This window comes from Homo sapiens, chromosome 12 (assembly GCF_000001405.40).
Source record: "Homo sapiens chromosome 12, GRCh38.p14 Primary Assembly".
In the NCBI taxonomy this organism is placed as follows: Eukaryota; Metazoa; Chordata; class Mammalia; order Primates; family Hominidae; genus Homo; species Homo sapiens.
In genome coordinates this window covers 123749863-123764065 of record NC_000012.12, presented here as the reverse complement: position 1 = coordinate 123764065, position 14203 = coordinate 123749863, and the positions used below count along the sequence as shown (strand labels likewise).

The window sequence follows — 14203 nt, the reverse complement described above, 5'->3', positions numbered from 1 at the left end:
GGTGAAACCCTGTCTCTACTAGAAATACAAAAATCAGCCAGGCATGGTGATGGGTGCCTGTAATCCCAGCTACTTGGGAGGCTGAGTCAGGAGAATTGCTTGAACCAGGGAGGTGGAGGTTGCAGTGAGCCGAGATTGCACCACTGCACTCCAGCCTTGGCGACAGAGCTAGACTCTGTCTCAAAAAAAAAAAAAAGAAGTGGCCAGGTGCCAGATGGCTAACACCTGGAATCCCAGCACTTTGGGAGGCCGAGGCGGGAGGATCACTTGACCTCAGTAGTTTGAGACCACCCTGGGCAACATGGTGAAACCTGTCTCTACCAAAAATATAAAAATTAGCCAGGCATGGTGACGCATACCTGTAGTCCCAGCTACTCAGGAAGCTGAGGTGGGAGAATCACTTGAGCCCTGGAGGCAGAGGTTGCAGTGAGTCAAGATCGCACCACTGCACTCCAGCCTGGGTGACAAAGTGAGACCCTATCTCAAAAAAAAAAAAAAAAAAGTTAAAAAATAGAATACAATAAATGAATCTGCCTGGTACCTTTAAAAAAAAAATCAAAGGTCTGCCGGCCCTGCCACCCGAACCCAGTGAGAGGCCCTGCAAGGGATCCCCAAGTCCTTAAGGGGCTGGAAAAGTAGCCCAGGAGACTGGACAGCCAGGCAGGAGGTCCCGGTAGCTGTGCTCCAGCTGGTGCTCCTGCGAGGAGGCGGCTTTCGAGGTCCCAGTCTCCTTCTAGCTGTTTCTGAAGCGAGTTGTCCTGCCTCCTCCTCTCACCTGTGCTGGCCCCTCCCTGCCCTCTCAGTGTCCCTGGCCTATCAGAGAGTAGGTGGGGCTGGGGATCCGCCTCCACAGAGGGTTCTGGGACCCTGGTCACTGTCTTTTTGTATTTGCGATGCTAATTTGTTCAACATAAACATTTAAAGTCTACTGTAGTTTTTAAACTTTGTCCTAGCCTTATTTTACTTTTTAGGATATAAGGAGCCTCCAGAAGTAGAAAGGGGTGCTCTTCGGACCCTCCGTGAGAGGCTGCGACCGTCAAGGAGAGTGACAGTGACCTGGGTCCCTGCCACACCTGGGCATGGCTCTACCCAGCCGTTCGGATTATTGCACAGTGGATCTTGACGCCCCGTGGGCCTTGGGCAGGTTACTTAACCCCCTCCGTGCCAGTTTGCTCATCTGTAAAATAGGGATGAGGATACACCCGCCTCGTAGGGTTAAGGAGTTGATACAAGCGTTGGAACCGCACCTGGCACGGGGTGCGGGCTAAGTCAGTGTTTGCTGTGATTTTTCAATCAAGGCCTGACTTTCAAGTGGGCTGTGGGCCCAGGAGGGCAGGGACGGCTGTGATTGCTGGGTTCGCCCGGGGCCTGCACGTGGCGGGCGGCAGCGTTTGTGGACAGCACCTGAGGCCGGGGCCGGACGATGGGCAGGCTCTAGCAGCCCCGGCGCCCGCCGGAGAGGCCGGGACGGGCAGGAGGGAAGCCCGGGGAAGGGAGCGGCGCGTCGAGGCTCACCAATCTCCACCTCCACCTCCTCCGGCACCATAGTGCGGTAGATGAAGAGCGCCGAGGGCCCCTCCTCCTCGCTCGCCTGGTTGAGGAAGTGCAAGATGAGGTCCTCGCCCTGGCCGTCGTCGCGGTTGAGCAGGTCCTCGAAAAGCTGGGGGTCGGTGATGCCGAAAGCCGCATACACGCGGTCGCGCATCCACAGCACCCGCAGGTCGTCCATGGCGCCGCGCAGTGCAGAGGGAGCCGGGCGCAGGGCGGGCGTCCGTGGCAACGGCGGCCCTAGCAATGGGCGCCCCGGAAACGGCCGCAGCTCGCCCCGCCGACGGCGCCGGCGCTGGGGGCTGCAAGCTCGGCAGTGCCCCGCGCCCGGCCCCTCGATCCCGAACCCGCGAGCCGCAGCCCACGCCCCGGCCCCGGGATCTCGGAGGCGCGCACCAGGCCCCCGGGCCGCCGAGGTAGGCTGGTTGCTCCCTGGCCCCGGCAGCGCGCACGCCCCTGGATGCGGAGCGGGACCCTCGCCGCCAGGAGCCGCCCTCGGGCCGCTGCAGCCGAGGGTGCGACCCCACCCCACGCCGACCGGTTTGCAAGCAGCCCGCCCACCTTGCAGATGAAGCTGGGGCTAGAGAGTTGGCGAGACGAAGGTCACAGCACCTCGGCGGTGGCAGAGGCGGGATTAGAGGCCAGACGAGGAGGAAATAAGCCGAGAAAGCACGAGTTCCTCATGGCCTACAAAATCAGGGAAGGAGCAGAGTTCTTTAGCTTTCTTGCCAAACTAGAGCATAATAAAGCAAAACACCCACGTTTAAAAATATAGATATATTTATTTGTCATTAGCAAAAGGAAGTTAAATACTGATAGAAGATGCAAATTTGTCCTTTCATGCATTTGTGGAGCAAAGTACTAACTTGTTCACTGTCATTTCCCCTCACAAGGAGTTGAGCCCCTAGATGACTCAGGCTAACCCTAAGAACCTACCTAGCCTTCTTAGATATTCCCATCAAAGAACAGGTGGAGTGTACTAAGTATTTCTGAAAATTCTAAACCAAATCAGCAAAAATGGCCTGACTGTGGGAAGACTGTTCGTTCAAACTGCCTTATTCCCATCATCTTGATTTGACAGCTTCATAATAACCTTCCTGGATATATTCCCTGTGGCACGCAAGCAAACCCGGCTTTACGTTTTTAATAGAGGAATTTATTGTTTTAAATGCGGACTGTAGAATAGGTGTAGAAGTTGTTTTTCTTTTCCAAAATGTATCAGGCTCTAAAACGTCTGAATATGTAATTCATGGACATCGTAAGGCTGACCTATGCTACAGGTATTCTGTGCCTTATTAAACAACTGCAGAGGGCCAGGCGCGGTGGCTCACGCCTGTAATCCCAGCACTTTGGGAGGCCAAGGTGGGTAGATCACCTGAGGTCAGGAGTTTGAGACCAGCCTGGCCAACATGGTGAAACCCTGTCTCTACTAAAAATACAAAAATTAGCCGGGCACTGTGGCAGGCGCCTGTAATCCCAGCTACTCGGGAGGCTAGGGCAGGAGAATTGCTTAAACCCAGGAGGCAGAGGTTGCAGTGAGCCGAGACTGCACCACTGCACTTCAGCCTAGGTGACAGAGTGAGACACTGTCTCAAAAAAAATAAAAAAATTTTTAAATAAACAACTGCTGAGGGGATGCTGACACCAGAATGTTGTTATAAAATATCCATTCCAGAAACAGAGCAGCATTCAGCGAAAGAGGAGTTCCAAGTCCTTTCGCTGCTGGAAAGTCCGCAGGGCTCACCCAGATCCTATCAGACAGAACACCCTTTGCACTCCTTAACTGACCACGGCAATTACAGTCTCCAGCCCAGCAGGTTGAATCAAAGTCTAGTTTACTGAAGAAATCCCTTGGGTTTTAAGATTCTGTTAACACATGGTAATAAACATCTAAATAAAAACTGAGAAATGTCGTGTCGTGACATTTATCTTTAGGAAAATAAACATATTCAGTATCATCCACACAACTTGCCATCTGTGCTCTGGATCTCTGCTATCAAGGGAATGAAGTATGTTTTAAAAACTGGATACATAATAGGTTCTAGCAAAAGCCTTAACAAACAAAACTGAGCGATAACTCTGGTAACATGACACTGGAGCCCATCGCTTTATAGAGAAACAAATTCCCGTGGCCCCTATAAGACACTATTATCAAACTACATTTCCAGAGAGCGCTTTCCCAGAGTTAGGATTCTGAATTCGCTTTTCATATAATGACATTCTACATAAATACTACATAGATTTCAACAGAGAAATGACTGCATCCTCTGCTCTATGCTGAGAAGAGGTGTTAATTAGAAAGAGTTAAAAAAGTGGCCCCATGAGAATTACTAGTGGGGAGCAGTAAACAATTCCCGTGAATATCGTGTCCCTTATTTACCAATCAGCTAACAGTGCCCTGAAGTCTTGGGCTTCCTAGGGATGAAGTAGTTACCATTGTTTTTATGACAGACCCCTGGAGCAAAGTAACACAAATGTCCCCTTGTGGAAGCATCAGCTCTAGGTGAAAGCAACTCTGAGACCTGACCAGCACTGCTGGGATGTCATAGTCACCCAACACAAGTGCCCGACATGACACCTTTCTAGGGAAGCATAACTTTGAGAGCAGAATCATTTTCAAGCATTTCATCGGCATCATTTGATAATTTAATATGAGGGACAAAAAGCAGTAAGTCCAAACTGGCCTTGGGTAACATCTCATCAAGTAGCACACAGAATCTGTACTGTAATTGAAAGGGTTTAATTGTAAGTCACGGCTGTGTCAACGCTGTTCAGCTCATGCCTTGAAATCAGCTGCACAGCCACGTTAAACTCAGCACCTCCAGACTCTCAGCTTGTAACAGAAGTGCCAAGCTCTCTACCTCGAAACAGGATAGAGGAGGATGCGGGCAAATAGCCTTTTAACGTGTATCACTCACAATGTCAAGAAGGTGAAAAAAAGTCAGGTTTCTTTTTGAAAATAATTGTCTAAAATCAAACTAAAATATGAAAAATTAACATAATTTGCAAGAATATAGGTCAAAATGTTCAATAGGACTGACTCAAGTTCACAAAAAACCAAATGTCAAACAGATGAATTTAAACTAAAGATTATAAAACAATGGCTATTAAGAATTAGTTTTCAACTGATCTAAACAGTGTTTGAAAGTTTAAATTAACTCAATACTTTTATCAGAACTTTAGCTAGAAACAGTCTGAAAGTAAAAAAAGTATCATTAGACTGTTCTCAAGGATAAGTGCAATCTCTTCATGGTAAAATATCTTCATTTATATTTAGACTGTTCTCAAGGATAAGTGCAATCTCTTCATGGTAAAATATCTTCATTTATATTTTGTTACAAAAATATACAAAATACTACTTTTTACCTTTCCTTCACTCAGTATAAACCCTTCTGGTTCAGTGACATCAGCCAAGCTGTCACTAAATTCAAATCATGTCCGCATTATATCTTCTACAGTCACACTGGGTTTTAAGGCTCAGCATACAATTTATCTTCCAAACATACAATTATCATAACTGGTTTTATGTAAGGGTAACAGGATAAGAGTCTTTAAAAAAATATACAAGTGGGATAACCATTTGTTGTATGTCATTTTATCCCATTGTCCCCAATTACTAAAACAAGACAAAATTGTAAAAACAATCCTCTACTTGTAATTCTAGGTAGCACAGGATAAAAAATATTTGCATATTTTGGCCAGGCATGGTGGCTCACGCCTGTAATCCCAGCACTTAGGGAGGCCGAGGCAGGTGGATCACTTGAGGTCAGAAGTTCGAGACCAGCCTGGCCAACATGGTGAAACCCCATCTCTACAAAAATACAAAAAAATTAGCTGGTCACGGTGGCGCATGCCTGTAATCCCAGTTACTCGGGAGGCTGAGACAGGAGAATCACCTGAATCCAGGAGGCGGAAGTTGCAATGAGACACGATCGTGCCATTGCACTCCAGCCTACGTGACACAGCAAGACTTCATCTCAAAAAAAAAAAAAAAGTACATATTTTTAAATCCAGCAGAATAAATGTGAATGTTTTGATTACCCATCATTAAATTTTTTAAAAAACTATCCCTACTTCAGCTGTTGGAAAATATTATCTGGCAACTTCAGGTGACAGATTAACTCTGTTGTTTGTTTTAAATAAAGTTTAAAGGAAATAAGTATCTAATACCATTTTCAACTAGCCATGCAAAATTGGCTTCTCTCCCCAAATCCTGTATTTGAAAAAATAACTTTAACATAACGTTTGGCATTAACTTATATTTGCTCATCATAAAAAACCAAAAGAAATTTTTATATCTCAAATTGGTAAACTTTACAAAATATTTAACATATGAGGAAGAGGTATATCTTACAGAATTATTTGGCTATGTCATAAGGCAGTAATGAAGATGGAATTTTTCCTATCATAAATCTGACATAAGTGAAAGTCTATAACATGGTCATTCTCCATAAATCTGAAAGCTTGTTGGTTACAGCAATATGATCATGCCACACTGTCGTCGTTATTGAACTTTGATGAAAGTAGACTGAATGAGAAAGGAACAAATTTGGTGCCTGCACCAACGTAGAATTTGTTCTGAAATTCTACCCTAAAAAAAAAAAAAGCCATGTATTAATGGAAGATTATGAAATCACATTCCTTAAAACAACATTTATAAGTTAAAAAAAAAAATTCCTGTGCTGAAATTGCTTCATTCCAAAATATGTTCTTGGCACATATATTTTTACTTAGCTAAACACTGCCCCGCACCCCCAACCCCGTGCTGGCTTTCCCAGTGTGAACAGAAACTCTGACACATCCGCTGTCTCTCACTGCCCAACACACAAAAGCACGTGCACAAGTAACGAGACCCTCTCCTGCCACTTGAGTCACTGGAGGCACAGAGCAGTAATCTGACCTACACCATAAAACATTAAGAAATACATAAGAAGGATTTATCTTGCAATAAGACAGAGCAACCTGTCAGACCCAAAGTGAATTAGGAGTATGAAACATACGTTAGTATTCTGCAAACTTAAACTTACTTTTACTTGTCAGTGATAATAGTTCAGAATCAAAATACATTTTTTTTTTTTGACACAGAGTTTCGCTCGTCCCCCAGGCTGGAGTAAAATGGCATGATCTCGGCTCACTGCAACCTCTGCCTGCTGGGTTCAAGCAATTCTCCTGCCTCAGTCTCCCAAGAAGCTGGTATTATAGGCGCACGACACCACACCCAGCTAATTTTTGTATTATTAGTAGAGACAGGGTTTCATCATGTTGTCCAGGCTGGTCTTGAACTCCTGACCTCACGTGATCCACCTGCCTTGGCCTCCCAAAGTGCCAGGATTACCGGCATGAGCCACCGCACCCGGCCCAAAATACAATTTTAACTCAGAGGATATGAACACAGATCCCAAGGGAAGGGAAGAACTGGCCTAAATTCAGCATTAGATTTTGCAGGGGCTGTGTATATTTGGTTGGGCGGGGCAGTGGGGGGGCGGGTATGTTTTTTAAATAACAGCTCCAAGGCTAGGTTTCAAACTCACCAGTGGAGGCGTATGGCGTGAAGAAACGCAGAAAGCCCTTCCATGATCAGAAGGATGAAAATGGTCAAAACTGCAAAGAGCGCGATAACCGGGAGCAGTAGCAAGACGCCATAGGTGGTGTCAACGCGGAGGCCCACGCGCATCAGCATGGCCCACAGGACATCAGACAACTCTGCAAAGGAGTGCAGCCTGCACAGGTCATGCTCGCTTATGTACAGTGGGTCCCTCTGTGAGCTACCTGGACTGAGTTTCCCCCTGACGGCCCTGAACTATTATCCCATAAAATAATAGACACACATGTAACACAGACCCAACTGTTTCTCATGTGAAAGCCAGTCAGCTCCGAGACGGTCTCAAACACTAAGGAAGACCTGGTGCTCCAAAAATATCAGAGGCCATCTCCCAAAGGGAGGTCTTGCCCCAGACTAGGTTTGGGTTGTGACCTCCCAAAGCGCACTGGACCAGGCAGCCAGAAACAGGCTCCCAGGCCTGGTTCTGCCACTGAGGGATCAACTGGATGACCATGAGTAAAGCACCGACACTCAGTGGCTTCAGTCACCACCTCTGCAAAATGGAGATGAACGAGACAGGGCCCCTCCAGCCACAAAATTCCAGACCTTTGGCTATGCTTATAAAAACATAAGCATTTTTTTTTAACTAAAAAAAAAAAAAAAAAAAAGACACCCTCTTGTCCGGTGGTTTCCACAAGCACAGGCAGTGCTTGCTTTGCACAGTAAAGACCTTGCAATCAAAACCATCCGAAGCATCCCTATTAATCCATGGGAAAAATGGTTTGCTCTGTGGCCTTTAAAATTGTTGTTAAAACATTAAAAACTCTCTTATTGTTGGCTATATTGTTGGCCAACAATAAGAGAGTTGTTTTTCGGTTTTTTTTTTTTTTTTTTTGAGACAGAGTCTCGCTCTGTCGCCCAGGCTGGAGTGCAGTGGCATGATCTCGGCTCACTGCAAGCTCTGTCTCCCGGGTTCACACCATTCTCCTGCCTCAGCCTCCTGAGTAGCTGGGACTACAGGCGCCCGCCACCACGCCCGGCTAATTTTTTGTATTTTTAGTAGAGACAGGGTTTCACGTGTTAGCCAGGATGGTCTCGATCTCCTGACCTCATGATCCGCCCGCCTAGGCCTCCCAAAGTGCTGGGATTACAGGCGTGAGCCACAGCACCCAGCTAATAAGAGAGTTATTAATGTTTTAACAAAAAATATAGGGAAATGAAAAAATGGTAAATCTATCTTTGAAACATTAGAAGCACTGAGTATTAAAGTCTTTTGTCTGTTATTTAAAAAAAAAAAAAAGTTTATTAGGGTAGTTTGAACAGTGCTTGGTTCCTGCTGTGTAAATTGGCAAGCTGGGTGACCTGATGCAGAGCAAGCATCTTTCCTAATACTTGCCAAATTGTCCTATTTTTTTTTTTTTTTAGCTTTTTTTTTTTTTTGAGACAGAGTCTCGGTCTGTCACCCAGGCTGGAATGCAGTGATGTGATCTTGGCTCACTGCAACCTCCGCCTCCTAAGTTCAATCAATTCTCCTGCCTCAGCCTCCTGAGTAGCTGGGACTACAGGCGCCCGCCACCACAACCAGCTAATTTTTGTATTTTTAGTAGAGATGGTTTTGCCATGCTGGTCAGACTGGTGTCAAACTCCTGACCTCAGGTGATCCACCTGCCTCGGGCCCCCCAAAGTGCTGGGATTACAGGTGTGAGCCACTGTGCCTGGCCTGTCCTATTCTTTTCTACGTCTGAACCCACTTGCAACATTGCACCCTTTGCACAAACCTTCAACGTCCTGAAACATTGCCGAGCACCACTGGTGGGTTATCAGCATCTTCATCACGACACCTGCCGCACGTAGGCTGGTAAATGCACCTGCACCTAACTGCACGGCTAGGTACTGTGGTGACTGAAATGGGAACCATGCTGCTGGGGAACAGGTGTTAACTACACTGTGGAAACTAACATGTGTGCATTACTGGAATTGTGCAAAGGGAGGACTCCTGTGATCAAGGCTACCCATGAGTGCTGTGGCAGGACTTGCTTGAAATAAACAGATATTCACACTTGGTAAGGCAGCAGTGAATGAAATAACTACTAACAGAAACAGTAATGGCAACAGTAGCAAGTGCTTACACCAGAGGCTCCCAAGCCGTCTCAGTTCTCAAAGCCCCTTGTGTCTCAGTGATTTTTTTTTTAAATTGGGCAGGCTCTGAAGCCAGACCAGCCTCAGAGAGACTCCCTCTGTGATTTTTCCACAGCACTCCTCAGCCAAAAGAAATAGCCAAGAGAGCTGTGTATTAAGTAGTGAATAGTGTAAGTTCACGTGGCAGCTGAAAGATGGTGCTATGACTATTAGTTACAAAGTTAAAATATCCCACAGTGCCCCCTGAGTCTGCTGGCACTACAGGGCATTGGGAACTGCAGGTCTAAGCAGGAACTTACGTGCGTGAGCCAGGCTAAGCGCCCAGAGCCTCAGGTAGGAGGCGGTGTTGGAGATGCATCCCAGACAGTACTCGATGGAATGGATTACTTGGGTCATTAATATTTCTCCAAAATTAAACTGAGAGAGATCACACAACATATGTTAAGAGTCATGATGTTACATGTGTACTTCTACATGCCAAGTGGGTTCCACTTCAAGGATTACAATGAAAGAGCTGCCGGCTGGATGCTGGTAAGAACACGCTAGAGTGTGAGGAACAGAAACCCCAGACGCACTCTGTTCACCACTCTGCCACTACCCAGCTCCATGACCAGACTTTACCACCCCAAATCCCCACCTTCATCAGCCCCACTCCCACCGCACGCCTCAGACTCCCCTGTGTAAACCAAGAAGGTAGACCAGAGGAACTGCCGTGGCCACAGCTGCTATACTAATGGGATTCTGGGGCAGGTCTCAGTAATTATGAAACATCTACTGATAAAATAGGTATTCACCAACCCTAAGAGTAGACTGCGATTCACTAGATGTGAGCATTCTAAGTAGAGCCAACCAGGGAAAACTATGCAAGGGGCCCCTGACAGGGAAAGGGCTGCAAAGCACCAGGCAAGGTGACTCTCATGCGCTTTCCAGCTCTGCTTTTGTTTCTCTATGATCCTAGAACTTAATTATTAATTGTCCCGAATTAAAACACGAAATTACATAATAATTACAAAATGTTGATTATAAGACATTTTGTTTGGTCCTCACTAAATGGCCAAAATAAAGTTTCCATGAAAAGAAAGGAGGCCATGCTCTGCTGTCTTCCTGGGACTGCACCTCTGTTCTTTGCGGGGAGCCGCTACTTCCCTGTCCAGCCTCGTACCCCCAACCACACTGGCTCTGAATTATGTTCCCAAAAGTCTTATGCTGAAGCCCTAACCGCAATGTGACTGTATTTGAAGACAGAACCTTTGAGGAGGTAATCAAGGTTGAGTGAGGTCAGGAGGTGGGCCCTGACCCACTGTGACTACTGTCTTCTGGGAAGAGCAGGAGAAACAGGGGTGCAGGCACAGAGGAAAGGCCCTGTGCCGACACAGCAAGCTGAGCAGGGAGGCCTCAGGGGAAAGCAGCCTGCCAGCATCTCAGTCCGGGCCTGCCAGCCTCCGGGGCTGTGAGAAACAAGTCTCTTGTTGAAGCCACCCAGTCCGTGGTATTTTGTTATGGCAGCCCCAGCGGACTAAGATAGCAGTCACTGGTCCAGGGGACTGAGAACGCAGTCATTGGTAAAGGGGACTAAGGCAGCAGTCACTGGTAAAGGGGACTGACACAGTGGTCACTGGTAAGGGAGACTGAGCAGACACCGGTCCAGGGGACTCAGGCAGCAGTCACTGGTAAAGGGGACTGACACAGTGGTCACTGGTAAGGGAGACTGAGCAGACACCGGTCCAGGGGACTCAGGCAGCAGTCACTGGTGAAGGGGACTGAGGCAGCGGTCACTCGTAAAGGGGACTGAGGCAGCAGTCACTGGTCCAGGGATGGCAGGTATTTGGGGATTCTTTCCTAATAGTAACAAGCTGGTAAGGGCGCTTTGCTCTCTAATGGAAAGACTGAAAAAATAAGCCCAGGGCAACTTGTGACCATGGTTCTAGCATCATGGGGCCAACTGACTTCACAATATAAAGAAAACTTACAAAGAAAAAAAGCCAACCAAGGCCTCTTGGAATTGGAGACCCCAAAACTGTAATTATCCTGAAACCAACTCTACCTCTGTCCTGCCATGAGCCAGTAAAATCCCTTCGCAATCAGAAAAAACTGGGTCTCTATTTCTTGCAACTATGGAAAAGTTCTGACTGACCCAAGAAGCTTCTGAAAGCAATGTTCATGGCACCTTAAGTCACTCCAATCATAACTCTTAATATAACAGCAGAAATCCCACTGGCGAAGTGAAAGGACAAAATGACCCGAACTCATATAATGCCACCAACTCTATCATCAAACAGCATTTGGAAAGCGCTGGTTTCTCATAGTTGTGGAGGCTGGAAGTCCCATTTTCTTAACCATTTTTTAAGATGATTAAATATTATCTTAACATGATTATCTCTATGGAAGCTTGGTTACTTATCTAAGTTTATCAATAGCAGTTGAAAAGATTTACCTCTTCACACGCCATTTCTCTACATCCATCTTCCACCTGGTGATTTCCCTCTTCTATATCTTGGCTTCCCAGCAATGAAACTTCTTCCTCACTATCTTTCCTTATAAGTGTGTAGCCACTCTAACAACCAAAAGAGCACAGAGTCAGTGCCTGTAAAACCACAAGGTTGTGACAAAACCAAACTTGTATAGTTTCTTTGTTTCTCTTAATGATTCAGCTCTTTGAGAATAAAAAAGTTCTTTAGGCTAGGCACAGTGGCTCACACCTGTAATCACAGCACTTTGGGAAGCCGAGGCAGGTGAATCACCTGAGGTCAGGAGTTCAAGACCAGCCTGTGCAACATGGCAAAACCCCGTCTTTTACAAAAAATACAAAAATTAGCAGGGCGTGGTGGCGGGCGCCTGTAGTCCCCCTATTTGAGGGCTGAGGCAAGAGAATTGCTTGAACCCGGAGGGCAGAGGTTGCAGTAAGCTGAGATAGTGCCACTGCACTCCAGCCTGGGCAACAGACGAAGACTCCAGTCTCAAAAAAAAAAAAAAAGAAAGAAAGAAAGAAAAGAAAAGAAAAAAGAAAATCTTAAAGAAGAAATTAAGACGAATATGGAAAAAGGCATTTAAATTGTGCCCATCTGAACTGAAGGACTGAGTTAAACCCCTAATAAGCTTGTAGTTCATACCAGGGCGGGTCTCCACAGGCCCTGGACACAGCAGGCTCTTTCAACATCAATGTTTCATTTACTTATTTATTTTGAGACAGAGTCTTGCTCTGTTGCCCAGGCTGGAGTGCAGTGGCGTGATCACAACTCACTGCAACCTCTGCCTCCCAGGCTCAAGCCATCCTTCCACCTCAGCCTCCCGAGTACCTGGGACTAAAGGTGCACACCACCACACCGGCTTATTTTTGTATTCTTGGTAGAGACAGGGTTTCGCCATGTTGCCCAGGCTGGTCTCAAACTCCTGGGCTCAAGTGATCTGCCCGCTTTGGCCTCCCAAAGTGCTGGGATTATAGGTGTGAGCCACCACACCCAGCCAACATCAATGTTTTAAATAAAGGGAGCTTTGGCTTTTAAATCAAGAGACAGGGACCCTCCAGGAGGTGTTTTCTACACCAATCCTTGTATAACCGAAAGCAAGCTTTGCTCACAGTTGTAAATGCATCCAAACCCGCACTTACCCGGTTCACCCCGAAGCAACTACGCCCATTGTGAAGCCACAACAAAAACAGTGGCTTTCCCAAGAAGAGGACAGGGACAGACAATGCTGTGACAACCAGCAGCACTCTCTGGACATACTCCTGTTAGTGCAGAAGGTGAGAAACCCGATTAAAACGTGAAGGCCTGCCTGCAGGGTCAGCAGCACACGATGAAATCAGGAAAGATCGAACAATGTCTCCACGCGAGGAACATTCAATAAATGCCAGCCAGCTACACTTGCCAGCGGGTTTTCTTTTCCTAAACTCATAGCTGAATTCTAGAACTGATGAATAACATTAATGACCCTGTGGTAAAGTATTATTTTGTTTTAGACCAGCAAGGAAACTTTACAAAAATTCTAAAGAGAGTCAAACTCCAACTAATCATTTTCTGTAAACACTGTAAATGAGAAAGTATAAGCACAAGCAGAATATTTTGTATATTCTTGGTTCTGTTTTCCTGTTCTTTGATGATTATAAAGACCGTCTGAGGACTATGAGTGTGAATCAGCAAGTGGATTTACCTCCACACACAGAAAATCGTGGAAGAGAATTCAGAACAAAACCAAAAACACTTCCTTAGAAAAACGAAGATTTATAGTTACTTAAAGCTAAATCAAAAGCAAAATCCACTCAGGCTTACACAGCCACGGCAGTCTGCATGGCTTCCCAGGGTTTGGACGGGACACTGTGCTGTCCAAGCTTATCACTCTGTATGGTCGCCCCTCACCAAAAACAGGTTCCTAGAGCTCTGTGTGCTACTCAGGCACAAAGCTGTATTATCTACACACCATCAACAGGATGAACCTCTTGAAATGCCGAGAAAGGTGGCGGCCACAGGCAGAGCCACATCAGAAGTCCTGGGCTGGAGCCAGGCTGACCTAGGTTAACAGCCTGGCCCTACAGACCGCTGAGTGACCAGGACTGCCCTGAGCCACCAGTTATCACCAGTAACAGGGGATGACACACCTACCTCCTGGGGCTGTTGTGAGAATTAAGAAACACTAAGTAAGGAAAGCACACTCTCAGGTATGCGGCAGGTAGTAAAGAAAGGTAGCTGCCCTTCCTTGATCTTTCTGTCCATAGCACCTGTGCCCACTGAACGCCCCTGCATTTATCTGTGGTATCTATGCCATTGTACAAAGCTTCAATAAAATAATGATAAAATACAATTCTTAAAAATCATAAACAAGAGAAACCAAAAAAAAACAGAAACAAAAAGTTCAAAAAGAACGCAAATATGCATCTCGTCAACGAGGCCAAAGTTCCGTTAAGTTGAGCTTCAAATCTGACTTAAAACTTTCCAGCACCCAATAGAATGTGAAAAACAAAACCAAATGCTCCATTCA

The 14203-nt window shown here is 46.2% G+C and overlaps 2 protein-coding genes across 13 annotated transcripts in view, besides 1 other annotated feature; both read right to left on the bottom strand.

The window, feature by feature from the left end:
• Nucleotides 1-1765, bottom strand: part of DNAH10 (dynein axonemal heavy chain 10) — a 173420-nt gene extending 171655 nt beyond the window's left edge. For 8 of the 9 annotated variants that reach the window (NM_001372106.1, XM_017018960.2, XM_011538016.3 and 5 more), the window contains exon 1: nucleotides 1516-1765. In NM_001372106.1, the coding sequence (NP_001359035.1) occupies nucleotides 1516-1729 (214 nt within the window). In that variant the 5' untranslated portion in view covers nucleotides 1730-1765. The remainder of the gene's footprint in view (nucleotides 1-1515) is intronic. The other variant, NM_207437.3, reaches the window with a different exon arrangement.
• Nucleotides 1765-2184: a silencer, noted in NCBI's record as "silent region_5050". NCBI's record gives its function as "represses an Ori minimal core promoter by ATAC-STARR-seq in GM12878 lymphoblastoid cells {active_cell/tissue: GM12878}" and the evidence as "EXISTENCE:reporter gene assay evidence [ECO:0000049][PMID:35858748]".
• The window catches only part of ATP6V0A2 (ATPase H+ transporting V0 subunit a2), a 49403-nt gene continuing 37510 nt past the window's right edge, over nucleotides 2311-14203 (bottom strand). For 3 of the 4 annotated variants that reach the window (NM_012463.4, XM_024448911.2, XM_024448912.2), the window contains 5 exons: nucleotides 12837-12956; nucleotides 11664-11783; nucleotides 9529-9646; nucleotides 7080-7251; nucleotides 2311-6139 (listed from right to left, as the gene is read on the bottom strand). In NM_012463.4, coding sequence (NP_036595.2) covers nucleotides 6034-6139; nucleotides 7080-7251; nucleotides 9529-9646; nucleotides 11664-11783; nucleotides 12837-12956 — 636 coding nt within the window. In that variant the 3' untranslated portion in view covers nucleotides 2311-6033. The remainder of the gene's footprint in view (nucleotides 6140-7079; nucleotides 7252-9528; nucleotides 9647-11663; nucleotides 11784-12836; nucleotides 12957-14203) is intronic. The other variant, XM_024448910.2, reaches the window with a different exon arrangement.